General features: G+C 39.6%; 1 protein-coding gene across 13 annotated transcripts in view, besides 1 other annotated feature; it reads right to left on the bottom strand.

The window, feature by feature from the left end:
- PHACTR1 (phosphatase and actin regulator 1) overlaps positions 1–17931 on the bottom strand; it is a 571071-nt gene that overhangs the window by 425205 nt on the left and 127935 nt on the right. The gene's annotated exons all lie outside the window — the stretch shown is intronic.
- Positions 11037–11566: an enhancer, noted in NCBI's record as "OCT4-NANOG hESC enhancer chr6:12851299-12851828 (GRCh37/hg19 assembly coordinates)". NCBI's record gives its function as "activates a minimal SCP1, AML or CMV promoter by ChIP-STARR-seq in naive H9 embryonic stem cells {active_cell/tissue: H9 hESC(naive)}" and the evidence as "EXISTENCE:reporter gene assay evidence [ECO:0000049][PMID:30033119]".

The following is a 17931-nucleotide window of genomic DNA, read 5'->3' as shown; positions in this document are numbered from 1 at the left end:
AAGCAGAAGTATTTGCTGAAACTCTGTTGAACTTTTTAATGGCTGTATGAGTAGTAACTTACCACTGATCATTCTTCTCTTGTCTCGGGCTTGTAAGGGAGGGGGATGTGGCCCTAAACAGTAAGTATCTCTGTGATAAGAGCCATCCCCCAGTGTATGCCGGTGACCCTGAGATGGACAGTAGAGGTGTGTTTCCTCCTTCCTCACAGTCTCCCAGATCTAGTGCTTTGTAGTTGACCTAGACTGTGACTCCAGGGGCATTATTTCTTCCTGATGTCTCAGTAAGATCCCCTGTGCTCAAGGTCAGGCCATTCTGGCTCCAGATCTCCACAGGACTCACCAACATTGGCCAACCATGCAACTCATGCTGAATTTACAAGTGCTGTCGCTGCCTATACCCCGATACTGGTGTTTTCATACGGAATATTGAGGTTGGCTGCTTTACAGTCAGCCCACACACAAGTCTTTCTCCTTCCATCTGCTCTCTCCTTTCACACTTCCATATTATATTAGAATTCATGTTGGGTCTCTCTTCCTAGAATATAAGCTTCTTTAAAAGCACAGACAATATTTATCTGTAGATCCCTCACCTTTACTTCCACTAACATATAAATTATTGGCATAGTAACTTACACATGGTAATCATAGTTTTATGATACACACACACACATTTTGTAATACATACATGGTACTTTACATATACTAATATATATGCCCACATCCATTCATATATATTTACATATATGTGTGTTTTTGTGTATATATGTATTTATTTCCAAGGTTAATTTTTTTAAAAAATGAACTGATCGAAATGAGCTATTCTGGCATAGAGCCAAGTTTTTGGTTCTGGTCAGAATGTGTACTTCTTGCCAGAAATGATACGGTTAGATGTCCTACATAGTATTTATATATGGGAGAGTATGGTTAATTGCAGTCTAAAGAAAAGAACTGAAAAGACAAACTTTTGTAAGTTACATGTTCATAACTGACTTACTTAAAACAAAGAAGACCACTGCTCCTCCTTTACTTACAGCACAGAGCCTCTACCCTGTTTCATTGAGCTATTCTTCTTCTAACAGCAGAAGAGCAATACAGTGATGGGAAGTCATTGGTAAAGGAGTTTAGCTTCTCTGTTTCCTCTTTTCAATTCAGCATATATTTCATTACAACACATGGCTAAAATGCCTGTCTTAACTTGAGGTTTATATATGGGATGTCCTAGTCTAAGGAAGACTATGGAGTTAGCATTATTATTGTTTTTGTTGTTTGGTTAACAGGACCTGTGTGTAGTCTAAAGAATATCCAGATTGGCAAACCACAGTGCAACCTCCCTTTTGTCTTCTGAATAGTAGCGTTGGGTGACTTGTTAAGCCTTTTTATGGAACCTTCCTTTTAAGAAATTAGAACCTTCACAATTGCCTAACAGGCAAGTCCCTGCAGCTCAAGAGAAGTCCCTGAATAAACAAAGTGTGTTCTCTATTAAATGTCAACACAACCAAAAATGTTTACATTTTGGTAGTTCATTACTAATTTATTTAGGAAATACTGGTCAGTCAATAACACATCAAAAACTGTGTGTGAGTGTTTTGGGAAGAAAGGCATGGCCACTATGATGGCACTGTCTATGGACCACATGTCCAGGGCAATGACATTTTGAAGATGGTGTGAAATTATAAAACCACTTTATAGTGTTGCCTTACTTGCCCATAAAAATTAGTAGAGTTTGTATAATACATCAGCAATGAATTTTGTAATTGTCAAGCGATCCTTATATCATAACCTTGGAAGAAGAGTACACTTAAGATATGCTTCTTATATGAACAGACACTTTTCAAAAGAAGACATTTATGTGGCCAACGAACATATGAAAAAGAGCTCATCATCACTGGTCATTAGAGAAATGCAAATCAAAACCACAATGAGATACCATCTCATACCAGTTAGAATGGCGATCATTAAAAAGTCAGGAAACAACAGATGCTGGAAAGGATGTGGAGAAACAGGAATGCTTTTACACTGTTGGTGGGAGTGTAAATTAGTTCAACCATTGTGGAAGACAGTGTGGTGATTCTTCAAGGATCTAGCACCAGAAATACCATTTGACCCAGCAATTCCATTACTGGGTATATACCCAAATGATTATAAATCATTCTACTATAAAGACGCATGCACATGTATGTTTATTGCAGCACTATTCACAATAGCAAAGACTTGGAACCAACCTAAATGCCCATCAATGGTAGAATGGATAAAGAACATGTGGCACATACACCATGGAATACTCTGCAACCATAAAAAAGAATGAGTTCATGTCCTTTGCACGGACATGGATGAAGCTGGAAACCATCATTCTCAGCAAACTAACATAGGAACAGAAAACGAAACACCACATAAATGTTCATAAGTGGCAGTTGAACAATGGGAACATATGGGCACCGAGGGGAATATCACACACTGGGGCCTGTCAGGGAGTGGGGGATAAGGGGAGGGATAGCAATAGGAGAAATACCTAATGTAGATGACAGGTTGATGGGTGTAGCAAACCACGATGGCACATGTATACCTATGTAACAAACCTGCACGTTCTGCACATGTATCCCAGAACTTAATAATAATAATAATAATAATGATGATGATGATGATGAAGATGTCCTTCTTAAGCCATTAGTTAAGAATTTTTACAGGAAGCGCAATGGTACCTTAGTGGGGTTGGTGCCGCCTAGCTCTAAAAACCTTCTGCAGAATATTGGCACCATTTTACAGGCTTTCTCTGGAGAATTTCTGGTGTATTTGGAATTAACATCTATTGTCCTCATGTATTAGAGCCCATGTTAGTTAATGATGTTGAACACACTGGTTTTTGGCAAGGGTACAAAGATGAGGTATCATCCCTAATCAAGAAGAGAGCTCAGTGAGCATTTGGGGGACAGGCAGGCTACTTGGTGATGGCCTAGTTCATAGACCTGCTCTCAAAGTCTCAACCTTGCACACACGGTTCTTGAGATGTGTTTGCTGCTGCTACTTAAAAAACCCTTCAAATCCTCAACTGCTACCTTTTCTCATTGCCTCTGGACTTTTACCTGCATAAAACCCATCATAAGTGTCAAATTTAGATATCACTTAGCATAGCATCATTGGTACAATATTCAGTTCATGAAATATGCTTGAGACATTCAAGCCATGGTGAAAACTACCAATATGTATAGGAAAGAAAAACTATAAATTGCTACATACACATAGTGTACATATACTATATTTATAATACACACATTAGCTGTAAGTATCATTCGCTGATATGGAGCATGTTGACCAGCTCTTTTATGGTTATATCCCAAGTGCTGTATATTTCATTAGGAAAAAAAGTATGTGTAGGGTATTAAAAAAGAATGGCCAGTAACCTGTGATAGTAGGGTTTAAAACCAGCCATTATTTTCATTGGCTTACCCTTGTTTCTTGCCACATCCTATTAAGTCATGTTTGTAAAGGTCTTTGCAGCTCCTAAAGCTCTTTCAGATTTATTTTTATCATTTCATGAGAAATTGTATATTTAGGGTCCAACACCACAGGTTTTGGAATAAGGCAGCCAGGTTCAAATCTTGGATGTGAATCTTAATTGTCTGGTCTTGATTAAGCTATTTAAATTCGCCAAGCTTTAGTTTTCTCCCTTATGAAACTGACATCATAATATCCACATCTTAACATTGAAGAAGAACACTGAACATCTTAACAATAGAAAAAATGCAAATTAAACACTCAATGAATAGTTGATGTTTTGATAGCTGCACTTTGTGTGTGTGTGTGTGTGGTGTGTGTGTGTGTGTGTGTATGTATGTGTTGGCTCTTTTTTTTAAGAAAAATAAAAGCAGTCGAGTACAGTGGCATGATCATAACTCACTGCATACTGAAACTCTTGGGCAAAAGGGATCCTCCCACCTCAGCCTACCAAGTAGCTGGGACTATAGGCACACACCACCATGTCCTGCAATTTTTAAATTTTTTTTTGTAGAGATGGGGGTCTCACTATGTTACCCAGGCTTGCATTGAACTCCTGGCCTCAAGCAATCCTCCCACCTAGGCCTTCCAAAGTGCGGGGATTACAGGTGTGAGCCACTGCACCCCAACCTATAGCTAGACTTTATCTCCAAACTTAGCCACATTCTTATGAAGTATACAGCAAATGTGCCACTATTATCATTATTGCTATGTTGACAGATGAGAAATTAAACCTGAAAGTGTAAATAACTAGGGCACTGGACAGTTATATATTTACCTCTAAATTAACAAATTGGTTTTATGATTTGTACATTTCAGCCTTTTGAGAGTGTAATCAGCAAGCGTCAGCCTCCGCAAGCCTGATGTGCACTGGGACCCTGACCAGAAAGAATTTCTGTGCCTCTAACAATAAAGGTCAGATGCAGACTGCTGGAGACATTGTCAATATAAATGTCACCTCGTGAGGTCCCTTAAAGGCCTTCCCAGCCTTCTGCCAAACTCATTGTGTGCCTTGCACTCCAACTTCTGCAATTTACATTATTTTAACTTTCATGTTGCAGGGAGATTGCATATCTGTTTCTCTGCTCTACCGTAAACTTACCGAGAACAGGCTATATCTGTAATCTTTACCTCTCAAATGCCTGGAACGGTATCTGGCATGGATGAAACACTCAATACATGTCTGCTGAATGACTGAAATGACCTCACTAAGATGACTGTGAATAAGTGGTAAATTCCCGACTTTAAACCCAGATCTTGTGACTACAAATCCCTTGTTTCATTTCTGTAGACTTTGGTTGAAGCCAGGCGATTGAGTCTCATTTCTTTACCTAAGGGTGGGAGAATCATTACTAGTACTGGGAGACATTAATCCTGATGAAGTGCTGAAAAGTACAGTCCAAGGCTTTGGTGACAGAAAACAACAACAACAGCAGCAACAACAAAATAACCCAAATTCATACTGTTAGTTCATTCAGCAAGATCGTCTTCATCACCAATGAGTGCTATTTCTGCCTGGGAGAATTTTTTTTTTTTTTTAAGATGGAGTCTTATTCTGTCCCCAGGCTGGAGTGCAGTAGCGCGATCTCAGCTCACTGCAACCTCAGCCTCCAGGGTTCAAGCAATTCTCTTCCCTCAGCCTCCCTAGTAGCTGGGAATAAAGGCACGCACCACCACACACAGCTAATTTTTGTATTTTTAGTAAAGACAGCCATGTTGGCCAGGATGGTCTCCATCTCTTGACCTCGTGATCCTCTGGCCTCGGCCTCCCACAGTGCCGGGACTACAGGCATGAACCACCGCGCCTGACGAGAATGTTGATTTTTTTCTAATGAGCATGCAAGTATATTAGTCTCACTTTAAGTGTAAATTTTAGATCCTTCTTGTAGAATAACATTTGACCTAATTTTTATCTAAGGAATAAATTCCCATTGCACTGTGGCCCGCAGGCAGAAAACACCTCATAGGAAAAATAAAGACAAACAACCCTGTGAAGAAAATGAGCATTTGATTTACTACATACACAGAGGTCCTTATTAAGAAGAGGAAATTGTTTTTTCCAGGTTCTGTGTTCAGGAGTCATACTTTTTTTAGTTGGTTGTTTGAATCTATCTGAAACACAATATTCCTCAAACAGAATAACCCCCCGTTTCAAAAGAGAATGGAAATGACCGAAGCCTCAATTTTCAAGGGCTGAGGATTCTGAGATTTTCCTTGCCGCTGCAGGGTCCTTTTCTGCAGGCAAATTGTTCAAGAAAACACGGTCTCTGTCTCTGGTCATTAGTGAAGATGACAATCCTCTGGGTACTTCTGGCTTAATTCTCAAATAAAAACCAGCATTTTGTTTAGACTGGCCAAGGGCATATCACCGTTCTTTCACCACAGCTGCTGAGAGCTGGTTGGAGTGAACAGCCGATCAGGGAACGCAGGATCTTGAAAGCCTTAGGGCTGGTGATGGTTATAGTAAAAACCCAGCAGGAAGTGGGATTCGCTGTAATCACAGGACTCCTGTATATTTGGTTGATCATAGATTTGCATTTGGTCCTGCAATTATTTTTCAGATAATTTAAGAAAGGATGAATTTGGGCCAGGCACAGTGGCTCACGCCTGTAATCCCAGCACTTTGGAAGGCTGAGGTGGACGGATCACTAGGTCAGGAGATCGAGAAGACCATCCTGGCTAACATGGTGAAACACCGCATCTACTAAAAATACAAAAAATTACCCTGGCGTGGTGGCGGGTGCCTGTAGTCCCAGCTACTTGGGAGGCTGAGGCAGGAGAATCACTTGAGCCTGGGAGGCGGAGCTTGCAGTAAGCCGAGATCGCGCCACTGCACTCCAGCTTGGGCGACAGAGCGAAACTCCTGTCTCAGAAAAAAAAAAAAAGAAAGAAAGAAAGAAAGAAAAAGAAAAGAAAAAAAGAAAGGGTGAATTTTAGATTTAAGCTTAAGTAGACAGTGACTTAATGAGTTGAATGGACCAAACAATTCTACTCCCCTAGGGTCCCAAGAAGATAGGGCTGTAGTTGAATTTAGATTCACTGAGCTTTTCCACTGCTTGCCTCTCTTAAAACCATCATTATTAAAGATATATGTTACCTTTAGTCACAATCTTCTTCCAATTTAGCAGCTTTTGTTTGTGACTATTAACTTTAAAGTTTACATGCCCTGGGCTGTAAGGCTCTGGAATTAAAAGAACCAGGATTCACTCTAAGCCATTTTGCCAGGAAGTAACCAAAGTAATAAATCTTTAATTAATGTTTTTATTCTCAGGTAATACTGTTCTTATGACATTTTCAGATTCTGAGCCAATATTTTTATTTTAATTTTTTTAAACTTTCCATTTTATTTTAGATTCGGGGGTACATGGTCAGGCTTGTTACAAGGGTACATTGTTTTATGCTGAGGTTTGGGCTTCTATTAATCCCATTGCCCAGATAGTGAACATAATACCCAATAGGAAGATTTTCAGCCACTACCTCCCTTCCTCCCTCCCTTCTTCTGGAGTTCCCAGTGTCTGTTTTTCCCATCTTTATGACCCTGTGAACCCAAAATTTAGCTCCCACTTATAAATGAGAACATGCGATATTTTATTTTCTGTTTCTGTGTTAATTCGCTTAGGATAATGGCCTCCAACCGCATCAGTATTGCTGCAAAAGACATAATTTTAGGGTTTGTTTTTTGTCTCATAGAGACAGGGTCTCGTCCTGTCTCCCAGGCTAGGGTGCATTGGTATAATCATAACTCACTGCAGCCTCAAACCTCTGGACTGAAGAGATCCTCTGGCCTCAGCCTCCTGAAAAGCTGGAACTACAGACATGCACCACCACATCCAGCTAGTCTCAAACTCCTGGAGTCAAGCCATCCTCCTGCCTAGGCCTCCCAGCATGCTAGGATTACAGGCATGGGCTATGGCACCCGGCCAATTGGTTTTTTATGGCTGTGTAGTATTTCATGGTGTATGTATACCACATTTTCTTTATCCAGTCCACCATTGATAGGCACCTAGGTTGATTACATGTCTTTACTATTGTGAGTAATGTTATGATAAATATGAGTACATGTGTCCTTTTGGTAGAATGATTAATTTCCTTTGAGAGTACACCCACTAACGGGATTGCTGGGTCAAATTGTAGTTCTATGTATTTTTAGTTGTTTGAGAAATCTGCAAACTGCTTTCCACAGGGGCTGTACTAATTTGCGTTCCCACCAACAACGTATATTCCCTTTTCTCTACAACCTTGCCAACAGCTGACATTTTTTGACTTTTTAATAATAGCCATTCTGACTGGTGTGAGATACTATCCCATTGTAGTTTTGGCTTGCATCTCTCTGATGCAAGTCAAAATGTTGAGCATTGTTTCATATGTTTCTTGGTCTCTTCTATGTCTTTTGAGAAGTGTTTGTTCCCATCCTTTGCCCACTTTTTAATGGGCTTGTTTGTTTTTCTCTTGTTGATTAGTGTAAGTTCCTTATAGATTCTGGATATTAGACCCTTGTTGGATGCATAGTTTGCAAATAATTTCTCCCATTCTGTAGGTTGCCTGTTTACTCTGTTGAGTTTCTTTGGCTGTGTAGAAGCTGAGGCTGAGCAAAGTTTTTAAGAATTAGGTATTCAGGAAGTCCCTGGACAAAAATTCATCCATCTAACGGTGATATTTCCTTAGGTACACAACAAAGCATTCTATCCTGATTTGATAGAAATAAGGGAAAATGCTAACAAGGTACAAACATCCTCTGAGACAAGTTGTTCAACCAAAAATACATCCTATTAGCCTGGCCTACTACCCTACATCTGAGGGAATGAAATCAAAAGAAACATACACATTTCCATGACAAAGCTTTAAGCAGATTTTGGAGAAACCTTGTGCTTGGCAGCTCTTTGGAGAAATGGGTACTTTGGGCATTTATTGTTCCATTTTAAATGAATCAATCAAAGTAGTACATTGCTACTTTCCCTCAAAAGGATTTCCATCATCTCAGAATAAAAAGTTAAATTTCCTAAGACATTGAAGGTTTTTCATGGCATAACTCTAGGTTACGTTTTGCTTCCCACTATAGCCTTATATACACCCATAACCCAGTCACCTGGGGTTGTCAATACATGTAGTTCCACCTATACGTATTGACAACGCCTATATGTCTTTGTTTCTGCTTTTGTCCCAGTCAGGAATATTCAGGCCCTAAACATCTACCTATTGACATCATATTAATTTTGTAAAGTCTTTTGTAAGTACCTTCTCATCCATGAAGCCCTCTGATACAGTTTGGCTGTGTCCCCACCCAAATCTCATCTTGAATCGTATACAGCTCCCATAATCCCCACATGTCCTGAGAGGGACCAGGTAGAGATAACTGAATCAGGGGGGCAGTTTCCCCCATCCTGTTCTCATGATAGTGAGTTAGTTCTCACAAGATCTGATGGGTTTATAAGGGGCTTCCCCCTTCACCGGGTACTCATTCTTCCTCCTGCCAACCTGTGAAGAGGAGCCTTGCACCATGATTGTAAGTTTCCTGAGGCTTCCCCAGCAATGGGGAACCATGAGTCAATCAAACCTCTTTCCTTTATAAATTACCCAGTCTTGGGTATGTCTTTATTAGCAGTGTGAGAACGGACTAATACACCCTCTCTGTTCCCTTCATTCAGAATAAATTGTCCTTCATTTTCACTCTCTCAGCACATTATTTGAATCTCTACTTAGCATTTAAAAAATTGTCTTGACTCATGACGTGACATGCCAACCAGAGTTAACAAATAAATCCTATCTCCTGTGCCAAATCTGATCAGCTTCTTTTGCCTGTCTAGGTGTTTCGTTGGAGATTCTGAGGCTGAGTCCATGAATAGGAAAGAAAAAAAGTCTGCAAGGGACACTGGAGCAGGGCAGTGGCAGCACATGTGACGTAGGTTTACCATTTCTTCAAGAGACTAACTTTTTGAGCCCAGGATTGTTTTTTATCCAATTTTATACATTTTACAATGTTTGTTTCTTGACAGTTGGTACTTAATATGTGCCTTTTGAATAAATTGAATTGAAATAGGCAGTGCTGGAGACTTAGGTTAGAAGTAAGGCTGGATTATCGATGCTTCAAGTTGCAATAAGATAGCAAAGGTTCTCATAGGAGCGAAGGCACCTAGAGATTTTAGGACTTAGGTTACAATTTCTTCACATAGGATGCATTATACCCAGTGCTGATAAAGGAAGGTGATGAATTTGGGTACTCACCAGATCCGAGAGTCAATGACTTCCAGAGATTGCCATGATTTCAGCATGCTTGGATAAGGAGTTTGTATCCTAAAAGCAAGTTCTATAAGCTTTGCTGTCATAAACTATCAGAGTGAGGAATGATTTTTTGGTAACATCAGTGCCCTCTTTGAATACTTTCTGAGCAACGTTTACTTTTTTCATTTCCTACCAGCAATGATTGTATGCTTTTGTGATCCATTGAGAAGCATATATCACAGAAAGCTTTCCAGGATATTGGAAGGCTTTAGGCCACAGACCTAGGGGGATTTTCAGGGTTTTTGTATGCTGCCTAGAAATATATCAGTAAATATAAATATAAATATAAAGAGATTGCAGAAATCATCTGGTCTGACTCTGTTGTTTGACAGGTGAAAGAAACGGAGTCCCAGGAAAGTGAGCTGTCTTGCTCAATTCTGCCACTTTGGGTAACGGCAGATTCAGAATCTGGTTCCTGACTTCTGCTGTACCATCCCGTTCTGCCTTCCTCCATATTTCTATGTCTGGTACTATTATTTCTTAAGTTGGATTCTTCTGATTGAGATTATGACTTTCTTTGGTAAGATTTTTGTTGTTTTCTGTTGTTAGATGTGTTTGTTTTTATAGGATAGGGAGGAAGAAAAAGAGAAAGGCATGGGTCACCCCAGCTCTGGGACGTTGCTTGGCCCTCGTCAATTTACTGGTACTTTAAATTGGCTTCACAATTATTTCTCTTAGGGCCTCAATACCTCTTACCACATATTAGAACATAATAAAAATGTTTTTTGGCCTAGCGTGGTGGCTCACGCCTGTAATCCTAGCACTTTGGGAGGCCAAGGAGGGGGAATCCCCTGAGGTCAGGAGTTTGAGACCAGCCTGGCCAACATGGCAAAACCCTGTCTCTACTAAAAATACAAAAGTTAGCTGGGTGTGGTGGCGCGTACCTGTAATCTCAGCTACTCAGGAGGTTGAGGTAGGAGAATCGCTTGAACCCAGGAGGTGGAGGTTGCAATGAGCTGAAATCACACCACTGCACTCCAGTCTGGGTAACAGAGTAAGACTCTGTCTTAAATAATAATAATAAATAAAATAAAATAATAAAATAAAAATGTTGTTTTTCAGTGGTAGTACCAAAGATCATGGAATACATGACAAAAGAAAACATTCGGCAGAGCAATGCCTGATTGTGTAAGATTTTTATTTTTTAAAGGAAAATTCAGAGTTTAAAATTCCAACTGCTTTAGAATATGTAGAATCTATTAGATTATTAAGGATTTGGGAAATCAAAGTAGAAGCATGTGACGTCTGTGTAATTACATATATGCCGGACTCTATTCCAACCCAGCTTTCCTATTGCTGTGCATGATGAGTTACTGGGTGCTTGCGTAATTAAGGATAAAATGGAACCTTTTATTGCATTAGACTGTTATTACTCATGTCTGTTTCCCTCAGGAAATCTGTAGGCTGTTGGCTGATTGAAAGGCAAAATCTGAGTATTGTTGGATTCCTTTGTGGTAACATTTTCTAACGCCATCAAAACCCACTGCTATTCTCAACAGCACTGCATTTCCTTGCATTCCCTTATTAATGTCCCAGATTGTTATTTAAATGTTCGCCTGTGTATTGTTTCCCAAGCCTCCCTTGAACTAGGCTATTTAAAGTTCAAAGCCTCACTTTATACTTGTTGCATCCATTGCTCAGCACCCACTTCCCTGGTACAATTCTTGTTGATCAGTCTGGCCAAGGACATGTCCGATTTTCTAAATCTATTGCCTTTGTATGAGTTTGCAATAATTATGTCCAGTTTGTGGAATCAGGGTGAGGCAGAATTTTTCAGATGTGTGAACACACGAACTCTCTTAAAATTGGGAAGATTTAGATATACTACATAGGTGTATGAAAACACTGGAATATAGTTATGGGTTTAATTATGTCCCCCACCCCAAGAAGACATATTGAAGTCCTGAATTCCCGTACCTTGGAATGTGATCTTATTTGGAAACAGGGTCTTGGGAGACTTAAGGGAGTTAAGTTGAGGTCATGAAGGTGGGACCTGATCCAATACAATTGGTGTTCTTATAAGGAGAGAAGAAGAGGCACAGAGGCACGTGCAGGAAGAGGGCGTGAAGACACACAGGGAAAAGACAGCCATGTAACTGGGATGATGCATTTACAAGCCAAGAAATGCCAAGGACTGCCAAACATCAGAAGCTGGAAGAGGCAAGGGAGGCTCCTCCCCTAGAGCCATTAGATAGAGCATGGCCCTGCTGACACCTTGGTTTCAGACTCAGACAATACATTTCTATGATTTTAAGCCACTCAGATTTTGGTACTTTGCTACAGCAGTACTGGGAAACAAATACCAAGACTGAATGAGGCCAAAGGCTACTGGAGACCCAACTGGGAAAGAGTGATTTTCTGCTAAAGTGAGAACAAATGATGAAGAAGTAAAGTTTCCCTTCCCCAGGCAATGCCATACAGAAGGGATGGCAAAAAATTTCATCTTGTGTGCAAAGTTGATTAACTAGCAGTGGCTCCCTGGAGCAAGAGTGAAGGAGGACTTTGCATCTGCACGCGGGCCTGATGGGCAAGAGTGCAGGCATCGATCAGCAGTATCTGTGGTGAATGTAGATGAGGTAGGAGTTAGACTGTAGGCTAGGGCAGCAGTAACCATTGTTATTCTGGTGGCTTCTTGGAAGTTGTGACGGAAGAAGGAGATCCAATATCTGGCATAGGCTTTGGGATAAGAATAGGGAGTAGAGATAAAGAGGTAAAATTTGCCCAGGGCAAGAGGGAAAAAAGAATTCATGACGATTCCAAGTTTCAGTCCATGCAGTCAAATACCATGACATGGCAGGAGAAAGGACATAGAAGACAAGAAATCCTATAAGATCTCAAAGCCAGAGCAGGAAAAAGAAGCAGGCATTAATTTTTGTAGCATGGAGTCACCCAGGAAATCTCAGTGACAAAGCAGTGTATGACTCACCTAATTTTGAATAAATATGGCTTTATTTATTTTCTGAAAATTAAAACCTCCTACTGTAAGGTTTAATTAATAATTAATTAATGGTTTAGTTAATATAATTATTGGGGGTATGAATTGTGTATTTTTGTTTTATATTTCAAAGATTCCTAGGAATTCTGGGGGAAAAAGAAGAAAGACATTTCCCTCATTATTATTTCATTATCTGGGGGACGGGAAAACTTCTAAATGCTGCACAGATGATGGTTTATGACATCATAGTTCATGGGACCTGAACTATGCCAGGCCTCATCGGTTCTGCAAAGCAATGAAATCATAACATCAGCAAAATCTCAACATTCCCTAGCTCTTGCACTTCCCGCCCATATGGACTCTGTGCCAGCCCCAGGCTGTCTGACCTACATGCTCAGCCTGTCCACTACCATTACTGTGTGCTATCTAGACTATTTTTTCTCTTCCAATCAGACCCATCATTCATGTCTCCAAAGAGTTCGGCCTGAAGCTGCTTTCCACAGGGGGTTGCAGACAACTCAGCATCCTCACATTCCCCGACATAGGGTACCTTCTCTTCCTGGCAAGTATATGTGTTCATACAAGGAAACGAAGGTCTGGCTGACCGAATCACCGACGTGGGACCTCACCACACTGAAGCCTAAGCGCTTTATTGTTAATTGTGAGGGCTCTGCACTTAAGTCTTCCAGAACTACTGGCATTGCGGCAAGGCCTTCCTAATTGGCTCATTCTTTCACACGCTCCTAGGGAGCTTCTGTCATTGCTCTTACGTTGGGAAAACTGCAGCATCTAACTCTTGCCACACTGGAGACTTCCTGCTGGGGAGAGGGGGCATCCATGTCACCTTTAGAGAATTTGCACTGTGAGATGAATCAGGTGCCATCTGCAAAGTCATTTGACTTCTGTTTAAAAAGAATAGTGCCTGTCTTTGAAATTCAAGAAAGAACAATCATTGATACTGGGAGGCAATAAGATTAAATGTGCTTTGAGAAGTGAAAAAAAAAAAAGTCTGATTTCCTTGGCATTTTAGTGGTTCTAATGAATGTCCTTTGACTGTCAGCCATTAATCCAAGAATTTACAACCCTTTCTTAAAAAAAGAAAAAAAGATTTGCTTCCTTTAAATTGAGGTAGATTTCTTTCTCAGGGGAGTTCATTTAGTGTTCTCTGACAGCAGAAAGCCATTTGAAAAAACATTCAGAACCAGAAACCTAGCTATTTTCCTCATTTTTGCTCAAGTTCCCAAGTCTTATTTTCAAAGTGATCAGTAACACTGAAATGTTTATCAGGATGTGGAAGAAAAACCTATTAAATGTCATTTAAAGTGAGATAATCTTCAGGCATGTTGCAAACCAATTGTCTTGAGAAACCTTTTATCAAATGCCCCTCCCCTCCTTTCTAGATGAAATGCTATTACATTTCCAAATAAAAGTCTCTACGAGTTACATTAGATTTTTAATAGAAATGAGATGGGCGCCTTGATTCAGTCTAATGGAGCCTAAAGAAGCTTGGGAAAAAATGATAGTAGGAGAAAAGAAAAATGAGCAAGCACCCTTATGTGTGTTTGTGTTTATAGAAAATCTTGTAGTTTAACATATGTATATGCACATATATGTATATTGGTAAGAGTATGTCAGAGAAAATGGACAAATCTTGATCTTCCATTAGCGAGTGATCATTTCTGATGGTTAAGATAAAAATGTTAGCATACAGGTTTGATTTCTTGTGTGGGTTGGTTAGTTACTCTGTTTATAACCAATACGTGCTATTGATCTAGCCTAGTTATGGATGGATTAATGAAAATCTCGGTGCATGGCATCAAGGATAATATTTGGTTATCATGAATCATTTATTTTCCTTTTCTTCTTTATGATGTTCAATTCTAGCACTGCCCAATGATCAGCTGCAGTCTCAGGAAAGGCTGTTCTTCTAACCACATCAAGATGGTGAGATATATCAAAGTTCAAATAAAAGATAATATACCGGAAATAGTGAATATTTTCAAAACCTCAGTTAACTGGTATCAGTGAGATAGAAATCGTTTCAAAGGGGCAAATTTTGAGGAGTTTTGTTCCTTTAAGCCTTAGCTTTAATTTTTTAAAATTAATTTTGGATGGAAACATCTCAAGATATATTAGCTGTTTTCCTGCCTTTGGAAACACAGCATCTTGAATGTAAAGTAGCACTTTTTAAATAGTTTATTACCATGAATCTTAATTAGGATACTGTGCCACTGAAACATCTTGGGATGTATTCAGTAATTTTTTTCTTATACTAGATGGCTGCAAGCTGCTGTTCTCATTGAGGTAGTATAATTGTTTTCATAGTTTTTCTGTTTTCTTTGGGCTAACAGTTTCTAGCCACTACAAATATTAATACTAATACTAAAATCAATACTAATAACCAAATGTGTTGGATTTATATGTCAATTAACATTCATAGATTCTCAGTAAGTATTGAGAAGCACTGTGCTTAAGATAAATGAGCTTTGTGTCATATAAGTTGACTACTCAAAGACCTTTAGAGTTTGTTTCTTGGTTTTTGACTCATCTCTTTTGTCATAGATGAGATTGCTGAATCTTTAGTTTACAAATAGTGAGTGGCTATTATTTATCCGTATCTATCTACCTACCTACCTATCTATATCTGTATATTTATACATATACATATATAATGCTGGTGTTAAAAATGACATCTGTGAATGTGATTATACCAGGTGTGGTCGAATTACCTACAACTATGAAGACCATGCAGCAACATAAAATGCTTATAAGAGAACATTATCTTTAACAAAAGAAAAAAAGCAAGTTGCTGCTGGGCGCAGTGGCTCACGCCTATAATCCCAGCCCTTTGGGAGGCCAACGCGGCCAGATCCCTTGAGCTCAGGAGTTTGAGACCAGCCTGGGCTACATGGCGAAACTCCATCTCTACAAAAAAAAAACAAAGAAAAAAATTAGCAGGGTGTGTGGCGTGTGTCCTAGCTGTGGTCCTAGCTACTCAGGAAGCTGAGGTTGGAAGATTCCTTGAGCATGGGAGGCAGAAGCTGCAGTGAGCTGAGACGGCCACTGCACTCCAGCCTGGGTGGCAGAGTGAGACCCTGTCTCAATAAAAATAAAAATAAAAATAAAAAGCAAGTTGCTAAGTGGTATATAAACTGTAGTTGCAATTACCACAAATCTCCTAAGGCCACAAAAAAAAAAAAGGACGAAAGAAGCATTAATTATTAAGGTGATGATGTTATACATTCCTATATTTCCAAAATTCCTGTAAGATTAATATTACTTCAAAAGTTAACAAGCAAATATATGACTAAAAAGCTCAATAAGAGCCAAGTGTTCCTACCACACCTTACACGTAAGAAATCTGGTTTGGTTTGTAAGTAACATCAGTGCATGCCTTGCAGCTCTGAATCTTAGACTCAAGGTCTACTCAGTTTTGTTAGGAAACATCTGCCCATAAAGTTTTACCTAACAGTAAGGTCCTTAAGATGCTGAAAGGAAATTGGGTTTATTAGAACACAGAGACCTTAAAACTGTCACTATTTTGAAGGAAATTTGCAGTATTGTCTCAAGAAAAGTATCTGACATGTGTTGGTACCAACTTAAAATTTTCCATTTACAGAATAGTTAAGATTATATTCTCTGTATCAGCCATCAACATTTATCAATCCATTCATTGATAACTATTGACAAACGCACATGCTTACTAAGCTCTCATTATGTGCCAAGCAGTCCACTGGGCACACCGACCAACAATTAAATATCAACATGTGGCTAAAGTCATCCTTCCAAGTGGAGAGCGAAAGTCTTCATGTTATGTGTTTGGAACTCAGTTTGTTTGTTTGTTTGTTTGTTTGTTTGTTTTTAAAGAAATGGCTTCAGTATCGTTATCAGTTCCCTCCTCTCCACAGTTTTGCTAACTGCAAACAAATTACATTTAAACTATTCACCTTGCTGGCTTGGTTTAGGAATTGGCAGGGAAGAGATGCATACTTTCAGCAGGTGCATGAAATCTGCACACAATGAAATTGCTTACTTTGTCAGATGAAATGTTAAGGACAATAAGGGAGCTATTTTAAACAAAGAAGTCAAAGTTACTCTTGCCGAGCCTAAGAGAATACTGCCTTCTGGTGAGACAAATCACCTTTTAAAAGGAATAAGATAACGTACATTGCAGGGACGCATGTGCACAATTCCGTATCAGAGCCCACAAAAGGAACTTAATAAAGCACAGAATTCTGGCACTCAGATGTGCAGGAAGCAAACTAAAGAGATGCATTAACCTCAGTCTATCTTCCTTTCGGAGGTATTTTTTTGGTAAACCTTACACAAATGCCTTATATATGATAATAATCTCAGCACATTAGACTGTCTCGGTGCTGAACAGAAACAGTAATCCCTGAGGGGAAATACCTGCCGTGCTATGGATGATAATGCTGCCATCTGATGCTGCAAAGCAGCAGAAAGACTGCCCAGCACGGAGGGCGGGGGGGGGGGGGGTGGGTGGTGTTCACAATGACATCTTGGCACTCTTCTCCTTTCTCTCTGCAAAAGAATGAGCAAGCACCTGGCAGTGGAGACTGAAATGCAAAGGAGAGAGTGGGGAAGGATTTACAAAAGATCTGCTGGCCTATGTGATGGGTAACACTTATGCATCAAGAGATCTGGTGAAGAAGAAAAGAGACCGAAATAACTGAGGGCACTTCTCCACTTTCCCTCTTATAAATCATGCATTGATGTATAAGCAGCCCAAACACATAATCACGCTGTAAATTTTTTAAAAACCCACAATTTTGAAAAACGTCGATCCAACGCTCAGATGCAGATATGCATAAATATGCACACAAACACACACATATTACATGTATACCATTATGGCTTTATTAATTTTTTTTCTTCAAAATCTTATACCAGGGGAGAAGGGAAACATAATAGGTGGCCTTTCTGTAACCAGTTAATTTGTCTGTTGCTGCTCAAGCATTTATGTTTATACTTGCTGCTCAAGTATTTATGTTTTTATTTGTTCCCACCACTAGAGGGCTAAGCAGAGGGGACAGGTTTTTCTTCTAGGCCCACGGATTGCTTTTAACAGTAGCCCAATTTCCTCCCCAAGCCACTTTCCCATCATTTCTTTAGTGGTACCTTCTGCTGCTGGCTTGCTTGCTTTTCTTTTTTTTTCTTTCACCTTTAATTCTTTCCTTCCTACCTCAAATACTTCTTGAAACATT

This window comes from Homo sapiens, chromosome 6 (assembly GCF_000001405.40).
Source record: "Homo sapiens chromosome 6, GRCh38.p14 Primary Assembly".
Taxonomy (NCBI): Eukaryota; Metazoa; Chordata; class Mammalia; order Primates; family Hominidae; genus Homo; species Homo sapiens.
Note: the sequence above shows the minus strand (reverse complement) of the source record. Positions and strands in the feature narration are given on the sequence as shown.